We start from the raw sequence: 20,222 nt of genomic DNA, 5'->3' as shown, positions 1-20,222 counted from the left end.
TTTATATGTGAATTGCCTATTTTCTTTTTAGGGTACTAGATTTATAAACGGTGTCATTGCAGGTTAAATTAAATAGCCGCAGCAGCCAGGTTCTTGAAAATGACCAGCCCTCTCATGTGGCAATTTTGTTTCCTTCCCTTGTCCTCACCTTATTGCAGGCTAATAGAACAGTGGCATTGTTGCATCTATTTCCACAAAGATGTTAATGGTCCCTTTTCCCTCTGCTTTGACAAAGCAGCTGTGAAGGAGCCAGGATGCCAGGCATGCAGGAACTGCCGCAGGAAAAAAACCCACGGTGGTAGGAAATTACCCTAATAGGGTGAAAATTAAGAAACGACCCATGGCATAGCCTGTTTCCAGGATACAGGCGGTATTTTCACGCCTTAGCAATTATTCTCTTAGAATCAATTTGGTGGTTCTTTTTTAAAAAAATTAGATTTGAACTTGAAGAGGGTTAAAGAGAAAAGGATAAAATCTTGGAAAATATTTAATTTTGTTTAATAAAGAAATCATTCTTGTCTTCGCTATTCAATAGAAAATGTAGCTCTTTTAAACTTTTCCTTGGTATTTCTTATTTTGTGCAAAAACAAATAGTATCATTTTAGCTCATACATGTTGGAGCTCAGGTAGAGGTAGACACCTGCAGAAGGAAAGAATCAAAGCCTTTTTATTGTTCATTTGCAGGAAAAGTACAAGGGCTGTCAGGCCACTGATTGGTGGTGATGTTTTGGTGCCCAAGAGGTAGCTGTCCTGGGGTTGGAGAGGTAGAGTGGAGGATGCTAAATAGCCACTGCTTCAGCAATTTAGGAGCAGGCGTGTGTGCAGCCACCTGCTTCTGTGTCAGGAGTGCAGAGCCTGAGTCTCTTAATGCTTTTCCTCCTCATGCGCCAGTCACTTTCTTACACATCTACCCTTAAAACTTCTGTAGAAAGGGACATTCAGTTGTCTCTATTTCAGTAACTCTCTTTTTTGCTTTGAGTTATAAGTCTTGGATTGACTAAGGAATCTGACAAGCACTGAAAAACTATTCTTTTTTATGGAGAAAGTTCATTATTGTTTGTTATCTCATTTTCATTCCATGCACCTTTTTTTTTGGCACATGATAAATCTGAGTTAAACACGGAAACAATTTTCATTTAAGGGTATGGCCTGTGTTTGGTTGGCTAAAGGTGTAGATATTTAGCAGAGGAAAGCAACAACTAGTACTACGTGGCAAACTCTTGGAGGCAAGGTCATGCTTTGCTCAACTCTGGACTCTGCATTCTTGGCACAGAGGAGACACTCAGCACCTGTTTATTGAACTGGAGTAAGTACCACAAAAAGCAGCTTCTCTTTTACTCTCTGAAGCTTCCCTCTGAGGACAAGTAGATTGCCATTAGTGTATTCGATAGGCTCAATTTAATTTTAATGAATTCATAGAAATTCTGCCCATTCATAGCATCATCAGTTTCAGAGTTTGAAGAGATCTTGGAGCTCAGTGTCTCTACACTTCCCTCTATAATTGTCAGGACTCAGCTACAAAAGAGACTAAAAATCTAGAAACAATGGGTAGAACTAACAAGCTGGGATTTAATAGAGATTCAGTCAGCACTCTGTAAACATTTTTTGAACATATTCTGTGTGAAAAGCTAGTTGAGAATGAGATTTCAAAAGCCCTTGATCTCAGTTTCTTAAACATAAACAATAGGGGTAGATTTAAAGTCTGTCTTCAATTTTACAAAAGAAAACAATCAATAGCATGTATTCATTCATTTATTCATGTACTCAATTATATTTATTATTCATTCATTGGCAAAGCCAATATAGGCACGGTAGATGATGGAAAAGACATGACTAAGTGGAAAAGACCCAGGGGTTTTTGTCAACCAACCCAGCTTGAATGCTTCTGGGGTGGGTCATATATTTTAAAATAGCTCCCTAAAAACTACTTGTTAAATATATTTTTATTTTTTTAATTTTTAATTTTTGTAAGTACATAGTAGGTGTACATATTTATGGGGTACATAAGATGTTTTGGTATAGACATGCCATGTGAAATAAGCACATCATGGAGAATGGGGTATCCATCCCTTGAGCATTTTTTTTAGTTACAAACAAGTTACATTCTTTAAGTTATTTTAAAATATACAATTAAGTTATTATTGACTATAGTCACCCTGTTGTGCTAGCAACATCTTTCTAATTCAATCTTTCTAATCACTTTTTGGTATCCATTAATTGTCTCCACCTCCCATATACTGGTCCTAGTTCTACCATGTGAAAACTATAGAGAAATTATAATTTCTTTCCACATTATAACTTCGTGAATACTTGTCTGAAATCCCTGCTTATCTTTAAAAACTTAGTTGAGTATCGCCTCCTCTACGAAGCCTCTGTAAAGCCCCTCAGAGAGTTGTTTCTTCTGCTGTTTTAGATCAAACTGGAGTCCTAAAACTTGCTGTGTGTTAGAACATCCTAGGGAACAATAAAAATAAAGATTCTGGAGCTGCACTCCAGTATATAAATAAAGCTCCTCAGACAGTCCTGAGACAGTTGGTTTGCAAGCTATCATTTGTTGACTACTGCACAGAGGAGATAAACTTGCATTTATTCAGCAGTTACTAGGTGCTTTAGTGTTTTCTTGTTTAGTTATCACATCCACACATTTTTATTTTGCCTTAAGTATCTTCATTACCACTTACTGAATTATAATTTAATTACATTACCTATTTATATTCCCCATCATACTGAAAAGTATTAATTTATTTTTGATGTTTCTAAGGCCTTACCACAATGCATGGCACACAATAAGATCTCCATCAATGATTGTACAATGAATGAGTGAATGAAAAATAAAATTAAATAATAAAATAAAATAGCTTAAGTGTCAGGGAAAAGCTTAACATTTGTACCACAGTGAGGTAGGAAAATTAAACTAAGCTTTTTAGAAAAGCTCTAGGGTATGTCTTCATCACTGCATCTAGGTTTGTGGGCAAGAGGAATTGGAGCATCACCCTGGGAGCTGAATCATTTGGCTAAGAGTCGTAGCGTGGTCACCAAATAATTGCTGAAGCCCAAAGTCCTCATATGTGAAGAGAAAGGATTGGCCTATAGAATCTTATAATTTGTTGGCTTCCTTCCAGTGCCACAATTTACTTAGAGTCCCTAATGTTAGCCTCTGGACCAGGCTAAAGAGGAGGATGATTTATATCTATATATCTATAGCATCTGTATCTATCTATCTATCTATCTCTCTATAGATATCTATCTATCTAGCTATATATATATATATATAATCTATCTATCTATCTATCTATCTATCTATCTATCTATCTATCTATCTATCTATCATCAGCTATATATCTATCTCCCGGTCTAGAGATAGAGGCTCTTGGTGGGGAATTAGTTAATTAGTAAGGTATTGGCCAATGTGTCCAATGGGCTCATACCATAGCTGGAGAAGTGAAGGGTATTCAAAAACTCTTCTTTCTTCTCTTATTCAAGTAGAAGAAGTAGGAAGAAAGAAGTGGATTGGTCAACTGAATTAGAGCTTTCTGAGATCTTTCAAGTTCTTTAGTTGACCAATCCACTCTTTTTTTTTTTTTGAAATAGGATCTCACTCTGTTGCCCAGGCTGGAGTACAGTGGTGTGATCATGGCTTCTCTGTAACCTTGAACTCTTGGGCTCAAGTGATCCTCCTGCCTTAGCCTCCCAAGTAGCTACCATGTCCGGCTAATTTTAATTTTTTTTTTGTGTAGAAATGGGATCTCTGTATCTTGCCCAGGCTGATCTCAAACTCCTGGCCTCAAGTGATCCTCCCAACTTAGCCTCCAAAGCACTGGGATTACAGGCTAGATCTTCTTTATCATCTGTCAGCTATCAGTTCAATAAATATTCACCAAAGTAATTTTATTGAAGGGACATTGAGGCCCTTAATTTCTAAGACTTGTTTTGAACAGTTTGAAACAGTTACCACCTAATGACTCTGCTATTTTCCCAGAGCCCTGAGTGGCTGTTTAACATTCAAGCCATGTAGAATCAGTGAGAGCTCCCAACAGAAAAGGGAATTAACTGTTTGGTGTGTTTTAATAAATGAGTGAGCAAAGATCATGTGAATCGATTATCAGTTTGGCTAACTTTCTTGCAGGGCTTGTGTGGAAGAATTAAATGCAAACAGACTGCATGTTTACCCAAGAAGACTGCACCTTGAAGTGGACATTAGGATTCTCAAATGCAGTTTTTGTAATGCACTGGTACCTTTTCTCCTCCTTTTCTTACTTTTGTCAAGACTATGTGTTGGAAATGAAGGTGAAAATCACAGAATAGAATAGAATAGAATAGAATAGAATAGAATAGAATAGAATAGAATAGAATAGAACAGAAGAATAGAATAGAATAGAATCAGACATAGCACACCGAGGACCTATTCCTTTAATAAGTACATTTGAGACCATTACAGTATCTTTCTGTTGGTCCAAAGGCCACTACTATAGCCTCAGTTTCCAAGGACACTTGAGTGAAAAAGATATGGCACCAAAAAGCTAAAGTTGCCTTGTTTTACCTCTAGGGTGTTCACTGTTTGAGAATAACTAGAAAAGGGGATGTAAAATAAGCTTGGATTCTGGTTCTTCCCCCTTTCTTCCTCTTCTACCTTCCTTATCCTCATTTTTTTGCTTTCTGACAGGAAGCACAACTATGTATAGGTTCACGGCCAATAAGCATTGTTTCTTCAAGAAAACAGTGTTGGGAGAGAGGCCCCTGGATCTGTGAAAGGACACAAACCCCTGGCCAGCTACATTTCCAGAACCAACATCTTCCTCTGTTCCCCTTCTCTACCTTGGGGCATCTCCATGTTGGCACTCAACACAGATTTGTATTCTTATGTCTATTACTACTATTCTTTGACCACAGGATTGGGCATGTAATAGCAACTCAATTATTGCCATTGAATGACTGAATAAATAGCCTCTTATGAGCTTATGAGCTTGGTTCTGGAAATGTAGCTGGACAGGGGTTTCTGCCCTTCCTTTATCACAGGTTCATGCGTGTCTCTGCTAACCCCACCTTCTTAGAGAAACAATGCCTTTCAGCCATGAACCTATAGACAATTATGCATCCCTGTCAGAAAACAAAGAATGAGGATAAGGAAAATAGAAAAGGGAAAAAGAGGGAAGAACCAGAATTCAAGTTGATAATGAAAGTGATAAACATTTATTTATTTATTTATTCGAGATGGAGTCTCGCTCTGTCGCCCAGGCTAGAGTGCAGCGGCGCGATCTCGGCTCACTGCCAGCTCTGCCTCCTGGGTTCACACCAATCTCCTGCCTCAGCCTCCCGAGTAGCTGGGACTACAGGCACCCGTCACTATGCCCAGCTAATTTTTTGTATTTTTAGTAGAGACGGGGTTTCACCGTGTTAGCCAGGATGGTCTCAATCTCCTGACCTTGTGATCTGCCCACCTCAGCCTCCGAAAGTGCTGGGATTACAGGTGTGAGCCACCGTGCCCAGCCAACATTCATTTATTTTTAAAAATTTTTAACTGTTTCACATTTTCTGGTACTCAGAAATTTCTGGGCTTTGTTGTGAAGCACAGGCTTTCAACGGACTGTCCAGTTGAATTTTAAAAGTCCAAAGAACTAGTGGTTCATTTCGTTATGATTGAGTCAAATAAACTGGAAGGCTAGAAGCTTACTGGGCCCAAAGAGGACCAGCTGATCCTAATAAAAAGTAAGAATTGAAGTGCTGGGGATATGTCACATTCTTTATATCTTGAAGAAGTTAAGTACAGATAACCCAAACTCACAACGTCATAGTAAACAGTGGAGATGCTAGGCAGAGCTGGCTCTGGACAGTGGGAAGAGTTGAGGTTTGTCAGTCTCTGTCCTCTTGTCAGCATCCTCTGTGCTTCAGGTGACCGTTCCTCCAGGTCTCCAAGGTCATCACAATAATGCATAGGTGGCCCGAGGCTTCTGTTTCCCAGATCTTTCCCATCCTGCCTGTCAACATTTGTGTCTGTCTTTCTAGGCCCTGCTGAGTTGACCAATTTGCTTGTGTTTGATGAATGAAAATGTAGTAAGAATTGAAGGTTTGGTATTTCACTTCCTAGGTTTATTTGCATCTTAACTAGGTATGCATGGACTCTTAGTTTATCTCAAAACAAGTGTATCACTGATACTTGGATTTCCAACCAGGCAGGTAAGTGAGGTAGACAATTTTCCTCAGGTTTGCATTCCAAATGTCAGCCTTCAAATCATGTGACTCTCCCTTCTATAGACAGACATTTCTTTCTCTTCTCCCTCTTCTGCTGCTTCTTCTTTTCCTTCCACCTCCTCTTCAGCTTTCTCCTTGCATTCCTTTTTCTTCGAATTCTTCTTTTTAAAGATCTAAAGTAGAAGTAGACCCCAGAGTCAGAAATTGTATTCATTATAGGATTGTGGTTAAAGGAAAGCTTTCACAGTGTCTGTGACCTTCGAACTATGCTGGAAAATGGAAGGAGTCATGAGTCTCCTCATGGCAGAGGGAAACTGAGTCTGAGTGCCTTGAGATTTAGATTTGGCTCTTTCAAATCCCTACCGCCTTTGCACCTTAGTAAACTGAGCATGTCCCTGGAGTTCTGTGCTTCCTAACATGCAAAGTAATTATGTGGGGATTATGGGTCACTGTGCCTCTTCTCTGTGGAAGACAGAACCAGAATAGGGCTAAATGCAGCAACAGACATAAAGTTAGCACAAGAGAAGAACCTCATCATCAGTGAGATCTGAATGATTGTGAGTTGTAATAATGGCATAACCATTTTGGTAGCTATTTACAAACAGTCACCTTCATTTTTTATCATAAGTTACAATTGTGACAAGAAGGCAGGAGCCTTGGTTGGGCTTGAGAAACTTTAGAGGCTCAAGACATTCAAAGATGTTATTATTCTGCTAAACAATAAATGGCATACTCCAGATCTGTACTGTTCAGTATGGTAGCCACGAGCCACAGTGGTTGCTGAACATCTATCTGAAGTGTGGCTAGCTTAAATTGAAATGTACTGTAAGTGTAAAATATATACTGGGTTTTGAAGGCTTTGTACAAAAAAAAAAAAAGAAAATTTCAAGCACATTGGTATTTTATATGGATCATATTAGTATGTAACGTATAATATCTTTGATATATTGGGTTAAAGTATATTATTAAAATTATATTTAGTTGTTTCTTTTTGATTCTTAAAAGTGTGGTCACTAGAAAAGTTAGAAAGGCATCTATGGCTTGCATTTGTGACTGGTGTTATATTTCTATCAGACAGTAGTGGTGTGGATCATATGAATTTTCAGTATACACATTTCTTTTAAATATTGAAAAGATATTAAGTCACATATTATATTCATTCATTTTATTAGATGAGTTTCACCAGTGGCTCTTAGGTTTGCCTTATCAGTACAAGGGCTGTGGTGGCAACACCTCTTGGGTGTCACTTCTTGGAAACAACACCTTTTGGGTGTGCATTTTGGGCGTATGCTCAGGAGCATCTGATGGGGCTCTCTCATCTAGGGAGAAGCAAGTAAATGTTAAAAGACAAGTTTTTGCCTGTGGATAAAATATCTTCTTTCTTTTTGAGGACAACATCTTATTCTGTATACTATGAAAAAAATTATATCCTTAAGGAAAATGACAGGAGTTCTTTAGATTGCCAGTTATAAATTGGAGAGTCTTGTCTTGAGACAATTCAGATCCTCATTTCTATTCAGGATTTCTTTTCTGCTGTAGATCATTTGATTTGGTTTGGATCTGTGTCCCCACCCAAATCTCATGTTGAAATATAATTCCCAATGCTGAAGGTGGGGCCTGGTGGGAGGTGATTGAATCATGAGGGCGATTTCTAATGGTTTAGCACCATCCCCCATTGCTGTTCTCATAATAGAGTTCTCATGAGATCTTCTTGTTTAAAAGTGTGTAGCACCTCCCAACCCCTCTCTTCCTCCTGCTCCTGGCCATGTGAAGTGCCAGCTCTCCCTTCGCCTTCTGCCATGAGTGTGAGTTTCCTGAGACTTCCCTAGAAGCCCAAGAGATGCTCCATGCTTCCTCTACAGCCCACAGAACTGCGAGCTAATTAAACCTCTTTTCTTTATAAATTACCCATCTCACGTATTTCTTCATAGCAGTACAAGAACAGACTAATACATCATTCAGATTATTTTACTTGCCTAGATAGCCAATTGGGCTACAAAAGCCATGGCATAATCTTTGTATATTCCTTAAGATTGGATATGGCTGTGACAATACAATTCAACAAATAGGGGCTTTAAAAAGATAGAAGTTTACTTCTCCTCTATATAAAGCAGGGCTGTACAGAGTCCTGAGGTAGTATAGTGGCTTTGTTCCACCGTGTCTCAGGGACCTGGGCTCCTTCAGGCTCCATACTCTGTCAATCCAAGTTGTGGCTCTCTCTCTCTTTTCTAATCCAAGATGACATCTTCTACATTGCAGTAGGTGGGGAAAAGAAAGGAACAAAAGAAGAGGGGCAACATTTGTACAATGGCTGTTTCTTAAAGAGTTAGAAAAACTGCCACATGACAATTGCGTATAAATCTTATTGGCCAGACTTTAGAGTGAGTGGTCATGTGCCTAGCTAAAAATTCTGTGACTATACAAGAAAGATGGAATAGATATTGTGGGACAATAGTCTTTGTCCATTGCATTTTTACACATTGTGGGCATTACTGTATGAATTATGTTATTTAGAGCTCTGCAACATAGTTACTTCATATAGCTTTGTGTAGAAAAGCTGGAATGCCCGCTTTATGTTTCTACTCTGGTTTATGCTCTTCACAGGAGAGTATTTGGCCCTGATCCTTAAGCAAAGACAAGTTATTTCTGGAGAATAGCTGTCATATGTAATATGATATAATGATAACAATACTTTAAATTTGGGAAGGGATGAAGCCATTAACCTGTTAACCTGAGTTTGTGCACTCTGGACACCAGAATCTTGACTCTAATAGTCAGGTAGGGTCTGCCTGATCTCTATTAATATTTAGAGGGGGCCTATTACCTTTGGAATTAATGAATATGACAAAAGGATTTTCTAAGTATGCCTGAACTCACCCTTTAGAATAAGGAATAAATGTAGCTGGTAAAATTACTGGTTTAAGCCTAGGTCAGGCAAGCTTAGGCACATCTTTTTGAATGATGAGACTGGCATGCCATATGTCTTCTGTAGGCATGGAGGTCTGAGGGTCTGAGAAAGGGGCACTGAATATGTATGTATCCATCCCTGCTGTCAGCACTTCGCCACATGTTCGCTGGCCAGGGGCTTTGTGCTGCTGCCAGGAAGGAGTTCCGTATTAGAAGCCACCAAGGTTTCAGAGGAACCTTATATTTTTCTTTTATTTGATTTCCTGGAGCAATTGCTTTTCTGTATACATCTGGTGCTATAATCAATTTCCTATAATTTCATAAACATCTCCAAAATTTGAACTTTCTTTTCAATGGGAGTAACTCGGGAGTTTCTTTCTACAGCTTCTTCAAAAGGACTCTAAACTTTTTTACTGAACACTTTGTTAAAGGACCAGCTTTTACTTTCCCACTTGGCAAGATGATTTTCTTTTATAAATTATTGCATTAAAGCTTTGAAGAAAAAACATTTGTTTAATGTTATATAAGGTATATTTATAGCTTCTTTAAAAGGTCCCCAATTTAACAAATTTGTGTGACTTCACAAGCTTTACACATATTTTCTCAGGTACTTCTCATAATACATGTTAAGAAAATGAGTGGGTTTTGAGTCAAACTAATTTTGGTTTGAATGCTACCTATTTTTGTTAGCTTTGCCACAATTACTAGCTGTGTGTCCTTGGTCAAGTCACTTAACTGTTCTGAGTCTAAGCTGTAAAATCACTTTCCTAAGCTTTATCACACGGGGTTATTGTGAAGATGGAAATATCTATGTAAAGCCCTTAATGTAATGTCCTATATTTAAAAGAACTTCAATAATCTCTATTGTTATCATTTTAGACATCAGATCCTAGTCTACATAACATTGCAGATTTTTCCAGTTTGCACACTCTCAGGTTCCAAAGGGATATTATTTATTGTGAGTTAAAAGCCTTTCCTTTCTTTCCTGCTTTTTTCTATTCTTTATTACTTTCTCCTTAATTTCTTTTCTCCCCTTCCCTTTCTTCCTTTTATCCCCCAAATATCCCATTTCCTGTGATCTCATTCCTAGGGTAAAATATTTCTATTAATCTTGCCTCAGTAGTTCAGTATTTTCCTTATCATCATATCCCTTTGGTGATTACAGGGTAGGACTCCATAACCGGATTTCAAATATTAAGAATGTCGAATCATCATTTCATTTCCAGTCAGCTGTAATGGTCAGTTTACATTTTATAACTTCATAGTGTAGGGGTTAACCTGAGTGAAGCCAGGCTAGGGTTTTCTCCTGCTGTTGAGAAGATCAGATCCTGAGCCTCTTGCACTCTCCTGCTTCTTGTTTCTTTGCCTTGGGGGTGGGGAAAGCAACTGGCAAGTCAAGGCAATGGATGGAGCAGGGTAGGTGTAAAGAGCGAGAGCCCAGGCTCTGCTGAGTCCTGTTGCTAGGCAACCGCATGCAGGAAGCAGACACATGCATATGCCTGCTAGCATCCTGTTGTCTTAGCAACAGAACATTTGGTTGAAGGGCTCGGGGAGGAGGGGGACTGGGTTCAAAATACTCAAAGTTCCCAGCATCTTAGGATATCCCTTCGCCTGAACCCCCATGTCTTTGTTGTCTTAATTTTCCCACATTCACTGAAGCAGAAGGTTCCATCCTTTTTAAAAATTTAGTTAATCACCCAAAATTTGTATGAGGGCTTTCCTCAGAGCTCTACATTACCCAAGTCACATCGCGGTTCATTAGAGCCCATCCACCTCCAAGTCCTCTGGTGCTCTGCGTGGCAGGGCCTATTCTATGGAATTTTAAAATGATCCCCTGCTCTAAGCACAGCCCTGTGGGACAGAAGTTAAACGTTCACTTGTATGGAAATTTAAATTCTGGGGTTTTAGTATGTGAAATGATTCTAAGTCATTATCATCAGCTCCAAGGCTGTCACTTCTGAGCTTTTCAGTCAGTAACAAAGACGAAGGAAAATGAAAGAGAGCAGGATGGCCTCCTTTTTCTTACTGGTCTATACGTGATGTTCAGGAATTATGGCATTCTGTTCTATCTGTTTGCCTATCAGTCTTTCCCACTTGACCATTCTCCTCTAAGTGTTGGGGCTATGTCTTTTTCATCTCTGGATTCTTCTTTTCTGCCACAGTTCCTGGCACATAGTAGGTGAATTTATTTAATAGATGACCTGGGAACCCATACAATGTAAAAATACTTCAAAACTATGCAGTGTGGTGCATAAATATTAGTTACTATTTCTGCATGCCTGGCTCTAATATTGTGCCCTTTGATCACTAGATTAGACTTTCTTATTCCTGAGACCACCTCCTGCCTTTGGACCCCAAGGTTAATTACTAAATCCCTGTCTTGTTTTCCAAAATCTTATGCCCTGTTTTGAATACCTGTAGTGCCTAATTTCTTATGGTTGAAACCTTAGTTTTTTGTTTTTTTTTTCTGTATTCCCCAGAGACCTTATAAACCAGCCTTACAGCTGAGGTGCTGTCTCTAGCCTTCAGATTTTCCCAATACTTCTTATTAGCTACTCTGCATTTTGCTTTATTCTAAAACCTCCGCCATTTTGTTCCACCATTCCACTGGTATATCTGTAATCACAGGATCTCTCTCAGGTGATTTGCTTGTCTTGGCTCCCACCTGTTGTCTATTACTGCATCTTCCATGAATGCTTACTACCCACCTGGGGAAGCACTTAATTTTAGATCTTTCTTCACTGCAGCTAATTCTTCTATTTTGGGATGTGTCTGGTGTGATCAGAGTACTTTCTAATCACCTTCTCTAATATGATCACAGTAAACTTGGCCCTGAAGCCTGCCTGTTATCCCATGTTATTTCTATTGCCCTTCACAGGGGATTGCACACTCACTATGGAAAAAAAAAAAACCCCACCAAACTGTCCTACAAAATGATCTAATTAAGAAATTAACTATTTACTGACTTGTGCTATCATTTAATTTTTAATAGGAAACATATATGCACTGAAGTAGGAAAAAAACAAAAATTTTAAAACCCTATTCAATGTCCAGTGTAGGGTTAAGCACACAGTATCCAATTAGAAAATGTTTAAAATTAAATTGAATTCGGTTTTAATATTTACGAGGGAGTTACAACTTTCTTTTGCTAAGCCTTTGAATTTCTTCCAATGAAGAAGTTACCATAATGTGACCCAGTGTCTCAACGAAATTAGTAGGATCTGAAATAGCAGAGGAGAGACCAGTTCTCTTTAAGCGGTGTGTTGACTTTACACCAGCTTTACATTTGATTCTATATGCCCTGAATTGGGGGGCATCTTCAATGTATTTGGAATTTTTAAATCTGGCAGGCCAGAAATCCAATGGCCCATTTAAGGAAAATTGTAACCTAGAAAACTGAAATTCGTATAAACCATAATCAAGCCAAATAACAGAGATCTTCTGATTCAACCTTTAAAAGATATCCCTATCTTATCTATCTATCTATCATCTATCCAGTGGTAAGAAATTTCTTCACTGGAGTCAATAAAAAAAAAAAGACACACTATGTGCCAGCATGCCATTGACCCACTGATAACCGAAGTCTCTAAGAGAGGGAGACAAAGCCTGCCACAGCCTCTGCCAGGAAATCCTATTGCTCACTTCTGCACTTCCTTCTCTCTTCTCATTATTCCACTGGGATAGATCCTCACTGCAGGTTTTCGTAATCCTCCTTCTAGAGATTCAGCAGCTATGCCCCCTCCCACCAACCTTGTTTGTAGCACATATTAGCTCAGAGGTAAGTGCAAAGTTTGCATCTTATACCTAATCACATCCCCCAAAGGTGGCAAGAGGTGGGGCAATGCAGAGTCAGAGCAGGAGAGACATCAATGCTGCCTATGTAAGGATTGGTCTGGGGACAATCAGAGGGAGGGAGGTTTTTCTCCCTTAACATTGTCTAGAGGACTTTATTTTGCAGAAATTCATTTGAAAGAAGGAGGTAGAACAGCTCTGATATTGCTTGTCATGAACCTCAATCTATAGAAACATAACAAAGGCTCTTCTCATCTGGATGCTCAGGTACATACAAAGGTGGTGATTCCAAAGAATTAGAGCAAACAAGCTGGAGCTGGAATCTGTCCTGTTATAAAAAATCTGTTCCGCCCAATCACGAGAATGTATGGGTCAAGGTTACAGCCAATGCCTGCAAATCACCACCGTGTGTTTCATTGAAGAAAGTGCCCTGCTCAACCTCAAATTCTTATCTTTCAAATGATGAAGAAAATGTCACCTTATGGACATCATCAAAATCTTCTTTCTGTAATTGAAATGGAATTAAAAGTGATTTCCTTGGTTTACAGCAATAGCTATAAAATAAACCAAGCTGTCTCTTTGTTTATTCTTCAGAAAAGTGAAACACTTGAGTTACAAGGAATAATCAGAGACTAATGCCAAGACATCCCTGAGAGTCCTCCAGAATGATGGAGAACCACATTCCATCTCTCTAAATTGGGAGCATATTGTAGCTTTGCAGCATAGCAATAGGAGGTATCTTTCTGGGTCATGGCTTGATGTTGCAGAAGTGGCAGTGGAGCCTCCAAAATCCCTGCCTTCCTCATCCCTTCCAGCTCCACAGGGCTCTGGAGAGGCAGACAAGGTTCTGCAATGCTCACCTCAAAAACAGTGCTGTAGGAAGCACTTGGCGGGGTACTGCAGTCATAAACACTCCGGGATTCCAAGATCCTGACAGATGCCTATGTCACCAAAACTCAAATTTTATACTTGGCTTCATGTGATACTCTTTTTTATGATGCATATATGATATGGAACAACTGCTGCTATGGAATCACCCAGAATAAAAGTGACCCTCTTGGAAATGCCTCCATGTATGTGTGAGTGAGTGAGTGACAAGCTGTGACTTGTACTGTCTACTCTGTGTAGCACCTGGGAAATGTGTCCACCTTGCTCCTTGTCACAGTCTGACTGTGGCTACACTACGCGTCGGTGATCACTGTCCATCGGGCAGAAACTCTCTCCTGATTCTTGCATGAAAAAAACACTAGTTCATTCATCACTCATCAATCATTTTCTTCTGTGACTCATCATCTGGAAGTTTCATTCCTCAGTCCCCCTTTCTGAGGCTGGTAAATAGCATGTCATTCCAGCAAAAGGCGGAGGGGGCGGCAGCCCATCTGGACCTTCAAGTTTGATTTCATATTTATGAAACAGCTTAAATGTCAGTTTGAGTGCAAAACGACACCTTCTCCAGCTTCTCACATTAGTGCCTCTGGCTGCTTGGCTGCTGCTGAACGTTTCTTTCTTTCTTTTTTTTTTTAAAGGCAACTCGTGACTTCCCTGCTTGGCTCCTTTAAGGCAGGAATGGAAAGAAGAGGCATGAATGGATGGATGGATGGATGGATGGATGGATGGATGGACGGATGGACGGTCAGATGGATGGATGCAAAGATAGATGGATGAGACCACAATTAAATACTCTCACCAGAGAGGAGAAAGAAAGAAATTGGAGAAAATGAAACAAAAATCAAATAGAAGAAATATTTTGGTTTTATAGGGAGTTTTGATCAATTGAGAGGATCTTGAGACATTCTTGTGTTATTTGCCCTCTATGTTTTAGGTTGAAAAAGTAAACATAAAAATTTGGAAAATAAAGATTTCAAGAGATAAGTCATCTGTGATTTCACCACTCTAACAGTTGGTATGACCATTTAGATACGTTTCCTCCAACTCATTTTTAATGCACATGTAGTTTCTAAACTTCAAAATAAAATGTGTATATGTGGAACCTGGGACTCTATAACAGCTCAGGATTTTAGGAAAATCTTATTTTGGACCCAAGGAAGACTGCCTTCCCTGGGAAAAATGCAAGTAAGGTAACCAGTGAATGCCTTCAAGGCAGTTTCTATATGCCTCCTGGGACTTTAAGACAGCCTCGTTAATGAGGAGTTTTCCTGTTGCTGGAAGGCTGGGGAATTTTTGCAACATAGAAAATGACCTTGTGATGATGCATGTGGATTTGCTTGTTCAGGTGCACACCTCTTACATGGGGTTTTTGTGTCCCCTGAACTCACTGATAGAAAGGGAGTAAGAGGGCTCACCTCACTGCCGTTAGCCTCAGTAGCTCTATCAGGATGAACGAACTGCCTTTCTTCAGCCATCCACTTGGGGGAAGCCTCAACAGGGAAGAGAAGTACTCCTGTCTTTTCCTAGACACATGCACCTTGAGAAATAGAAAAAGGGTTAGCTGCCTTTATGGGAGATTTTAATAACTTCCTAATGGAAGGGAGACTAGAGCAACAAAGTTAAGGAGCAAGTGGAGCACAGGGAAGGCAGTGGGTCTGGCGGCGGTGATATGAGTGACTAGAAGAATACAGGGACCCTTCTGGTAGTAGAGAAAACACAGCCTTGGTCAAAGGGAGTGCAGCCTTACTGAACCCTCTCCCCTTTGTAGTGATGGCTTCTGGAAGAGCCAGACAAGAGGTACTAGCTCTGAGAGGTAGTGGGAGGCCTCTCCCTGCAGGGCTGCCCTACTGGGAGTCAGAGGTCCGTGCTGTCTTGCCAGCTCCATTGTACCAGACACAGCCATAGCAGGTAGGAATAGTGCCAGGGGTGCAGGCAGATCCAGTGGTAGGCACTGAGTCACAAATCGTTGATGAAACAGTACTAAATTTTGGTCTTCAGAGGTTTTTTGTTTAGAGGCATTTGGATGGGAAGGAAGGAGACACTTCACCACGTTTAGACATAGAGCTGACTTTGTCTTTACTAGAAATAAGTCACCATTGTCCTGCAGGGACAAGGTGAGTGGGAAGGAAGGAAACTTCGTCTCAGCTCATGGGCTGGTGGTAAGATCCTTCAATACCAGAACTTTTAGAACTGTTCATATGTACCTTTAGATTGGGGTTCCAAACTAGTGAAGTAACTAACTAGAGGAAAAATGCTTTTCTTTATAATCTCTGTTTATCCTTCTATGTTTCGTTTTACCCTTTTACTTAGATTTGAAGTTAAGTACTGTTTTTTCTCATTAAAATTATATTTAAACATTTACCCAATTGCCACCTAGTCTTAGTCATTAATTTTAATGGCTATTATTTTGAAAAAAAATTACTTTATGGATATGCCTAGTTTTACTTAATTACTTCCCAATTGTGGGCCACTTGGGTTGCTTCTAATTTTTGCTATTAAAAATTATGCTATGGTGAATATTTCATAGTTTATCCTACTCTGCCACCACCACATTTTGAATTTTTTCTTTGGGCTGTATTCCCAGAAATTAAATATTTGGGTCAAAGGGTATGAATGAACGTTCTTGGTCTCTTGCTATATATAAGATGAAGGGCCACACACACACACACACACACACACAAATGAGCCCAGGAAGAAAACTGGCTCCTGGAAGTTTTGTGGTGGAAAGAAAAAAAGAGCATTATTAGAGGCAGAATGTTTGCTTGGTAAAGGTCTGCACAAAGGGAGAGAGAGAGAAAGAGAAAGTGCACCTGGCTTATAAAACCCAAGGACAAGCAGAAAGTAGAGTGTAGCAGTTTCGATGAATGAGAGACAGCCATGCACTTCTGCTGTTCTGCACTGAGACAGAGAGGGATCCAGTCCCCAGGAGCAGGAAGCACTGAGGCAGGAGTCGTGAAGGAAAAATAAATATAAAACTAAGGGAAATCGGCTGGGTGCGGTGGCTCATGCCTGTAATCCCAGCACTTTGGGAGGCAGAGGAGGGCAGATCATGAGGTCAGGAGATCGAGACCATCCTGGCTAACACAGTGAAACCCTGTCTCTACTAAAAAAATACAAAAAAATTAGCTGGGCGTGGTGGTGGGCGCCTGTAGTCCCAGCTACTTGGGAGGCTGAGGCAGGAGAATGGCGTGAACCTAGGAGGCGGAGCTTGCAGTGATCCAAGATCGTGCCACTGCACTCCAGCCGGGTCGACAGAGCGAGACTCCGTCTCAAAAAAAAAAAAAAAAAAAAAAAAAAAAAAAAAAAAAACTAAAGGAAATCAGTAAATCCAGGGAGGGTCAGCTTTCAGGAGTAATTCAGAGACTCCTGTATTTTGATTGATTTGTAAGGGCATGAATGGACAACTTATTTATATATCATTTTTTTCTGATTATAAAAATAAAATCTGTTCTGCAGAAAACTTAGAAAACATAGAAAAATGTAAGCAAGAAAATAGAAATATCACAATTGTTGTGCCAGAAATAACTGCTGTTAAGAATTTTACTTATTTCTTTCTGATCTATGTGCACACACATATACACACAACACAAACACACAAATGGAATTATACTGTATATAGAGTGTTGTGGATTATTATAACATAGATATAGTAGAATGTATTTAAACTTCTCATATTGTTGGGATTTATGTTATTTTTATAAATTATACCTAGCAATAAGAATATGCTTTTACATTTAAAAAATTTTTTTTTTTAAAATTTGTTTAGACCACATTCCTTGATTTTAAATGATTGGGTCAAAGGATAAGGGCAACTTTAAAGCTCTGTCACATTTAGGCCGATAGTAGTATGAGTACAGGGGTGGGTATTATCTCACTCTTGCCAACAAAAGCTTTTGTTTTGTTTTTAAATCTTTGACAGGGGCTTCCTTTGAAGGCAGGGGATACCAATTTCCTCCTCACCCTCTACTTCTCTCCCCTGGCCTTGATGCTGAAATTAATTTTTTTTTCAGGTAACAAAAAAGAACCTTCAAGGATATCCAGGGCTAGAAAAAAAGCTAGCTATAGCACAAATATGTGCTAGAATAGGACTGAAGAGCAGTGGATTATGAAGCTCGGAGGAGGTTGGTTTTGTCAGTACCTTGAATTATTCAAGAGCATCAAGTGACAAAGAAAAGAAGCTATCAAGACTTCTTGATCTTGTTATATTATGAGAAAGAGAGAGAGTCAACTTTGGTCTAGAAAAGGAGTGTGCCTCAAATTCATTTTGGAAATGGATGGAATATAAAACAAAAAATATCAATAATTATCCTTGTATTTTATGCAAACTCAAAATCCTCTGGCTAACTAGCATTTTTATTAGGAGGCCCAGATATTGGAAAATTTAACCATCATAATCTACCATGGCAATTATATTTAGGTTTATATATTAGGTTTATAACACTAGTCAGCGTTATGCCTTCTATTTTCATTTTATAATTTTTGTTTATAAGTCTAATATCAAGGGAGTGCTTTTTTCTGAAATTGGCTGACTTTTTCATATACAGATAGGTTATTTTATTCATATAGTCTTGTTTGAGAAATAGTTCTCTAGAACTTCGATGTAGAACACACACACACACACACACACACACACACACACACTCTCTCTCTCTCTCTCTCTCTCTCTCTCTCTCTCACACACACTTTCTCAAAGCAGCCAAGCATGACAGAACTGGGGTTACTAATATGGGTCTCTTCTCACTTTTCTTAATTGTTCTCAATCACTCTAGTTTCATCTCTAGACTGAATATAATTTTTATTTTATATTTATGCGATCTAATCTTACAATCACGCTTCTCTTTGGACTACCACATGGTTTTGTGTCTTCCAGCTAAATCTGGCTTTTTTCAGCTGCCTTAGGACCAGGATAGTAAGCCATTCAGACGTGAGTTATCAGCTAAGTTGCTGATAACTGTTCTTCCTGTCCTGTGGTAAAGGCATGACAGATATTCAGAGCAGGGACAGCGCAAAGTGAGGCTTCCCACCCTGTTAAAAAATATCCCCTCTTATATTCCACTAATGACAGATTCATTTAAGTTCATGGTTCTTAATCTTGATTAGTTGGCAAAACACCTGGAGGAAGTAGTGTTCTCAGAAGAACTCCATGAAATATTGATATACTTAATTCCATTTGCAAACTAAGGACACTTAACCAGCAGAAAATACAACTGTATCATAAACTGCAATATGAAATCACTTCCATAATCACACAGGCCAAGGAACTAAGGATGATTCTAAGTTTTTCTGTTAATATTAACATAGTACTTAATAATTTGTCCTGTCATTTGCTAAGACTCACCAACAGCAAAACTGTAGCAGTAAAATAAATTTAAGAAAACTGTTTTTCCATGGAACAAACAAATCGAGAAAATTCACTTCATTGAAATCTTTTTTTTTCATTGTGAATTCAGATATAAGCAGCTACCATTATTTGCTTTCAGCAACAAAATACCTCAGATTAGCATTGCTTGAGAACTACTAACTTGTTCTATTACCCTCTTCTTTTAAAATGGGAACATCCCCTTGGAGGTTAAGCTGGGCTCCAGTAACATCTTAGTGTGAATTACTTTAATCAGATAATCACCTAATGTCTGTTATCTATTTACTTTTCTTTAATGTACAATTGTGGTTTTCAAACTTACACATTTTAGCTGCAGGTTCCTTAGCTTCAAATATATAACTGCTTTTCCAATCATTCAGAAAACCCCAAGTTCATCTCAGAGACTTTCTCTACTTCACCTCCTACACCTTTATTTATTTAAATTAGTATTTCATGCCTTATAACAAATTATTCCAACACTTGGTAGTTTATAATGACAACAGTCATTTATTTTTCTCATAAACCTAAAATTTGAGCAGGGCTTGGAAGGAAAGACATACCTCTGCTCCATGTGGAGTCAGCTGTGGCAGCTCAACTAAGGGCTGGAATATCCACTTTGGACCTGATTCACTCACATAGCTGGTGAGCCAGTGAAGGCTGTTGGCTGTGAGCAGTGCTGTGCTGGATCTGGCATATATTGATTCACAAAGCCGACTGTGTGCATCTATTTCTCAAATTCATTTCCAGTGGTATCATGTTTGTAGTTTGAAATTAGTCACGGTGGAGGTATTTATTGATTTAGTTATTTATTGAGACGGAGTCTTGCTCTGTCACCCAGGCTGGAGTGCAGTGGTGCGATCTTGGCTCACTGCAACCTCCGCCTCCCGGGTTCATGCCATTCTCCTGCCTCAGCCTCCTGAGTAGCTGGGACTACAGGTGGCCGCCACCACGCCTGGCTAATTTTTGTATTTTTAGTAAAGATGGAGTTTCACCATATTGGCCAGGCTGGTCTCGAACTCCTGACCTTGTGATCCATCCTCAGCCTCCCAAAGTGCTGGGATTGCAGGTGTGAGCCACTGCGCCCGGC

General features: G+C 39.3%; 2 long non-coding RNA genes across 2 annotated transcripts in view, besides 1 other annotated feature; one reads left to right on the top strand and one right to left on the bottom strand.

The window, feature by feature from the left end:
* LOC105374060 (uncharacterized) overlaps positions 1-20,222 on the top strand; it is a 302,423-nt gene that overhangs the window by 158,535 nt on the left and 123,666 nt on the right. The gene's annotated exons all lie outside the window — the stretch shown is intronic.
* Positions 8,142-10,531, bottom strand: LOC101926968 (uncharacterized). The gene is made up of 2 exons (NR_135573.1): positions 10,375-10,531; positions 8,142-8,437 (listed from the first exon to the last, which is right to left on the bottom strand). It is a non-coding gene; the product is annotated as an uncharacterized LOC101926968 (long non-coding RNA).
* Positions 16,682-16,731: an enhancer, noted in NCBI's record as "active region_20290". NCBI's record gives its function as "activates an Ori minimal core promoter by ATAC-STARR-seq in GM12878 lymphoblastoid cells {active_cell/tissue: GM12878}" and the evidence as "EXISTENCE:reporter gene assay evidence [ECO:0000049][PMID:35858748]".

Source organism: Homo sapiens, chromosome 3 (assembly GCF_000001405.40).
Source record: "Homo sapiens chromosome 3, GRCh38.p14 Primary Assembly".
NCBI classification, from domain to species: Eukaryota; Metazoa; Chordata; class Mammalia; order Primates; family Hominidae; genus Homo; species Homo sapiens.
This window is presented reverse-complemented; position numbering and strand designations above follow the sequence as displayed.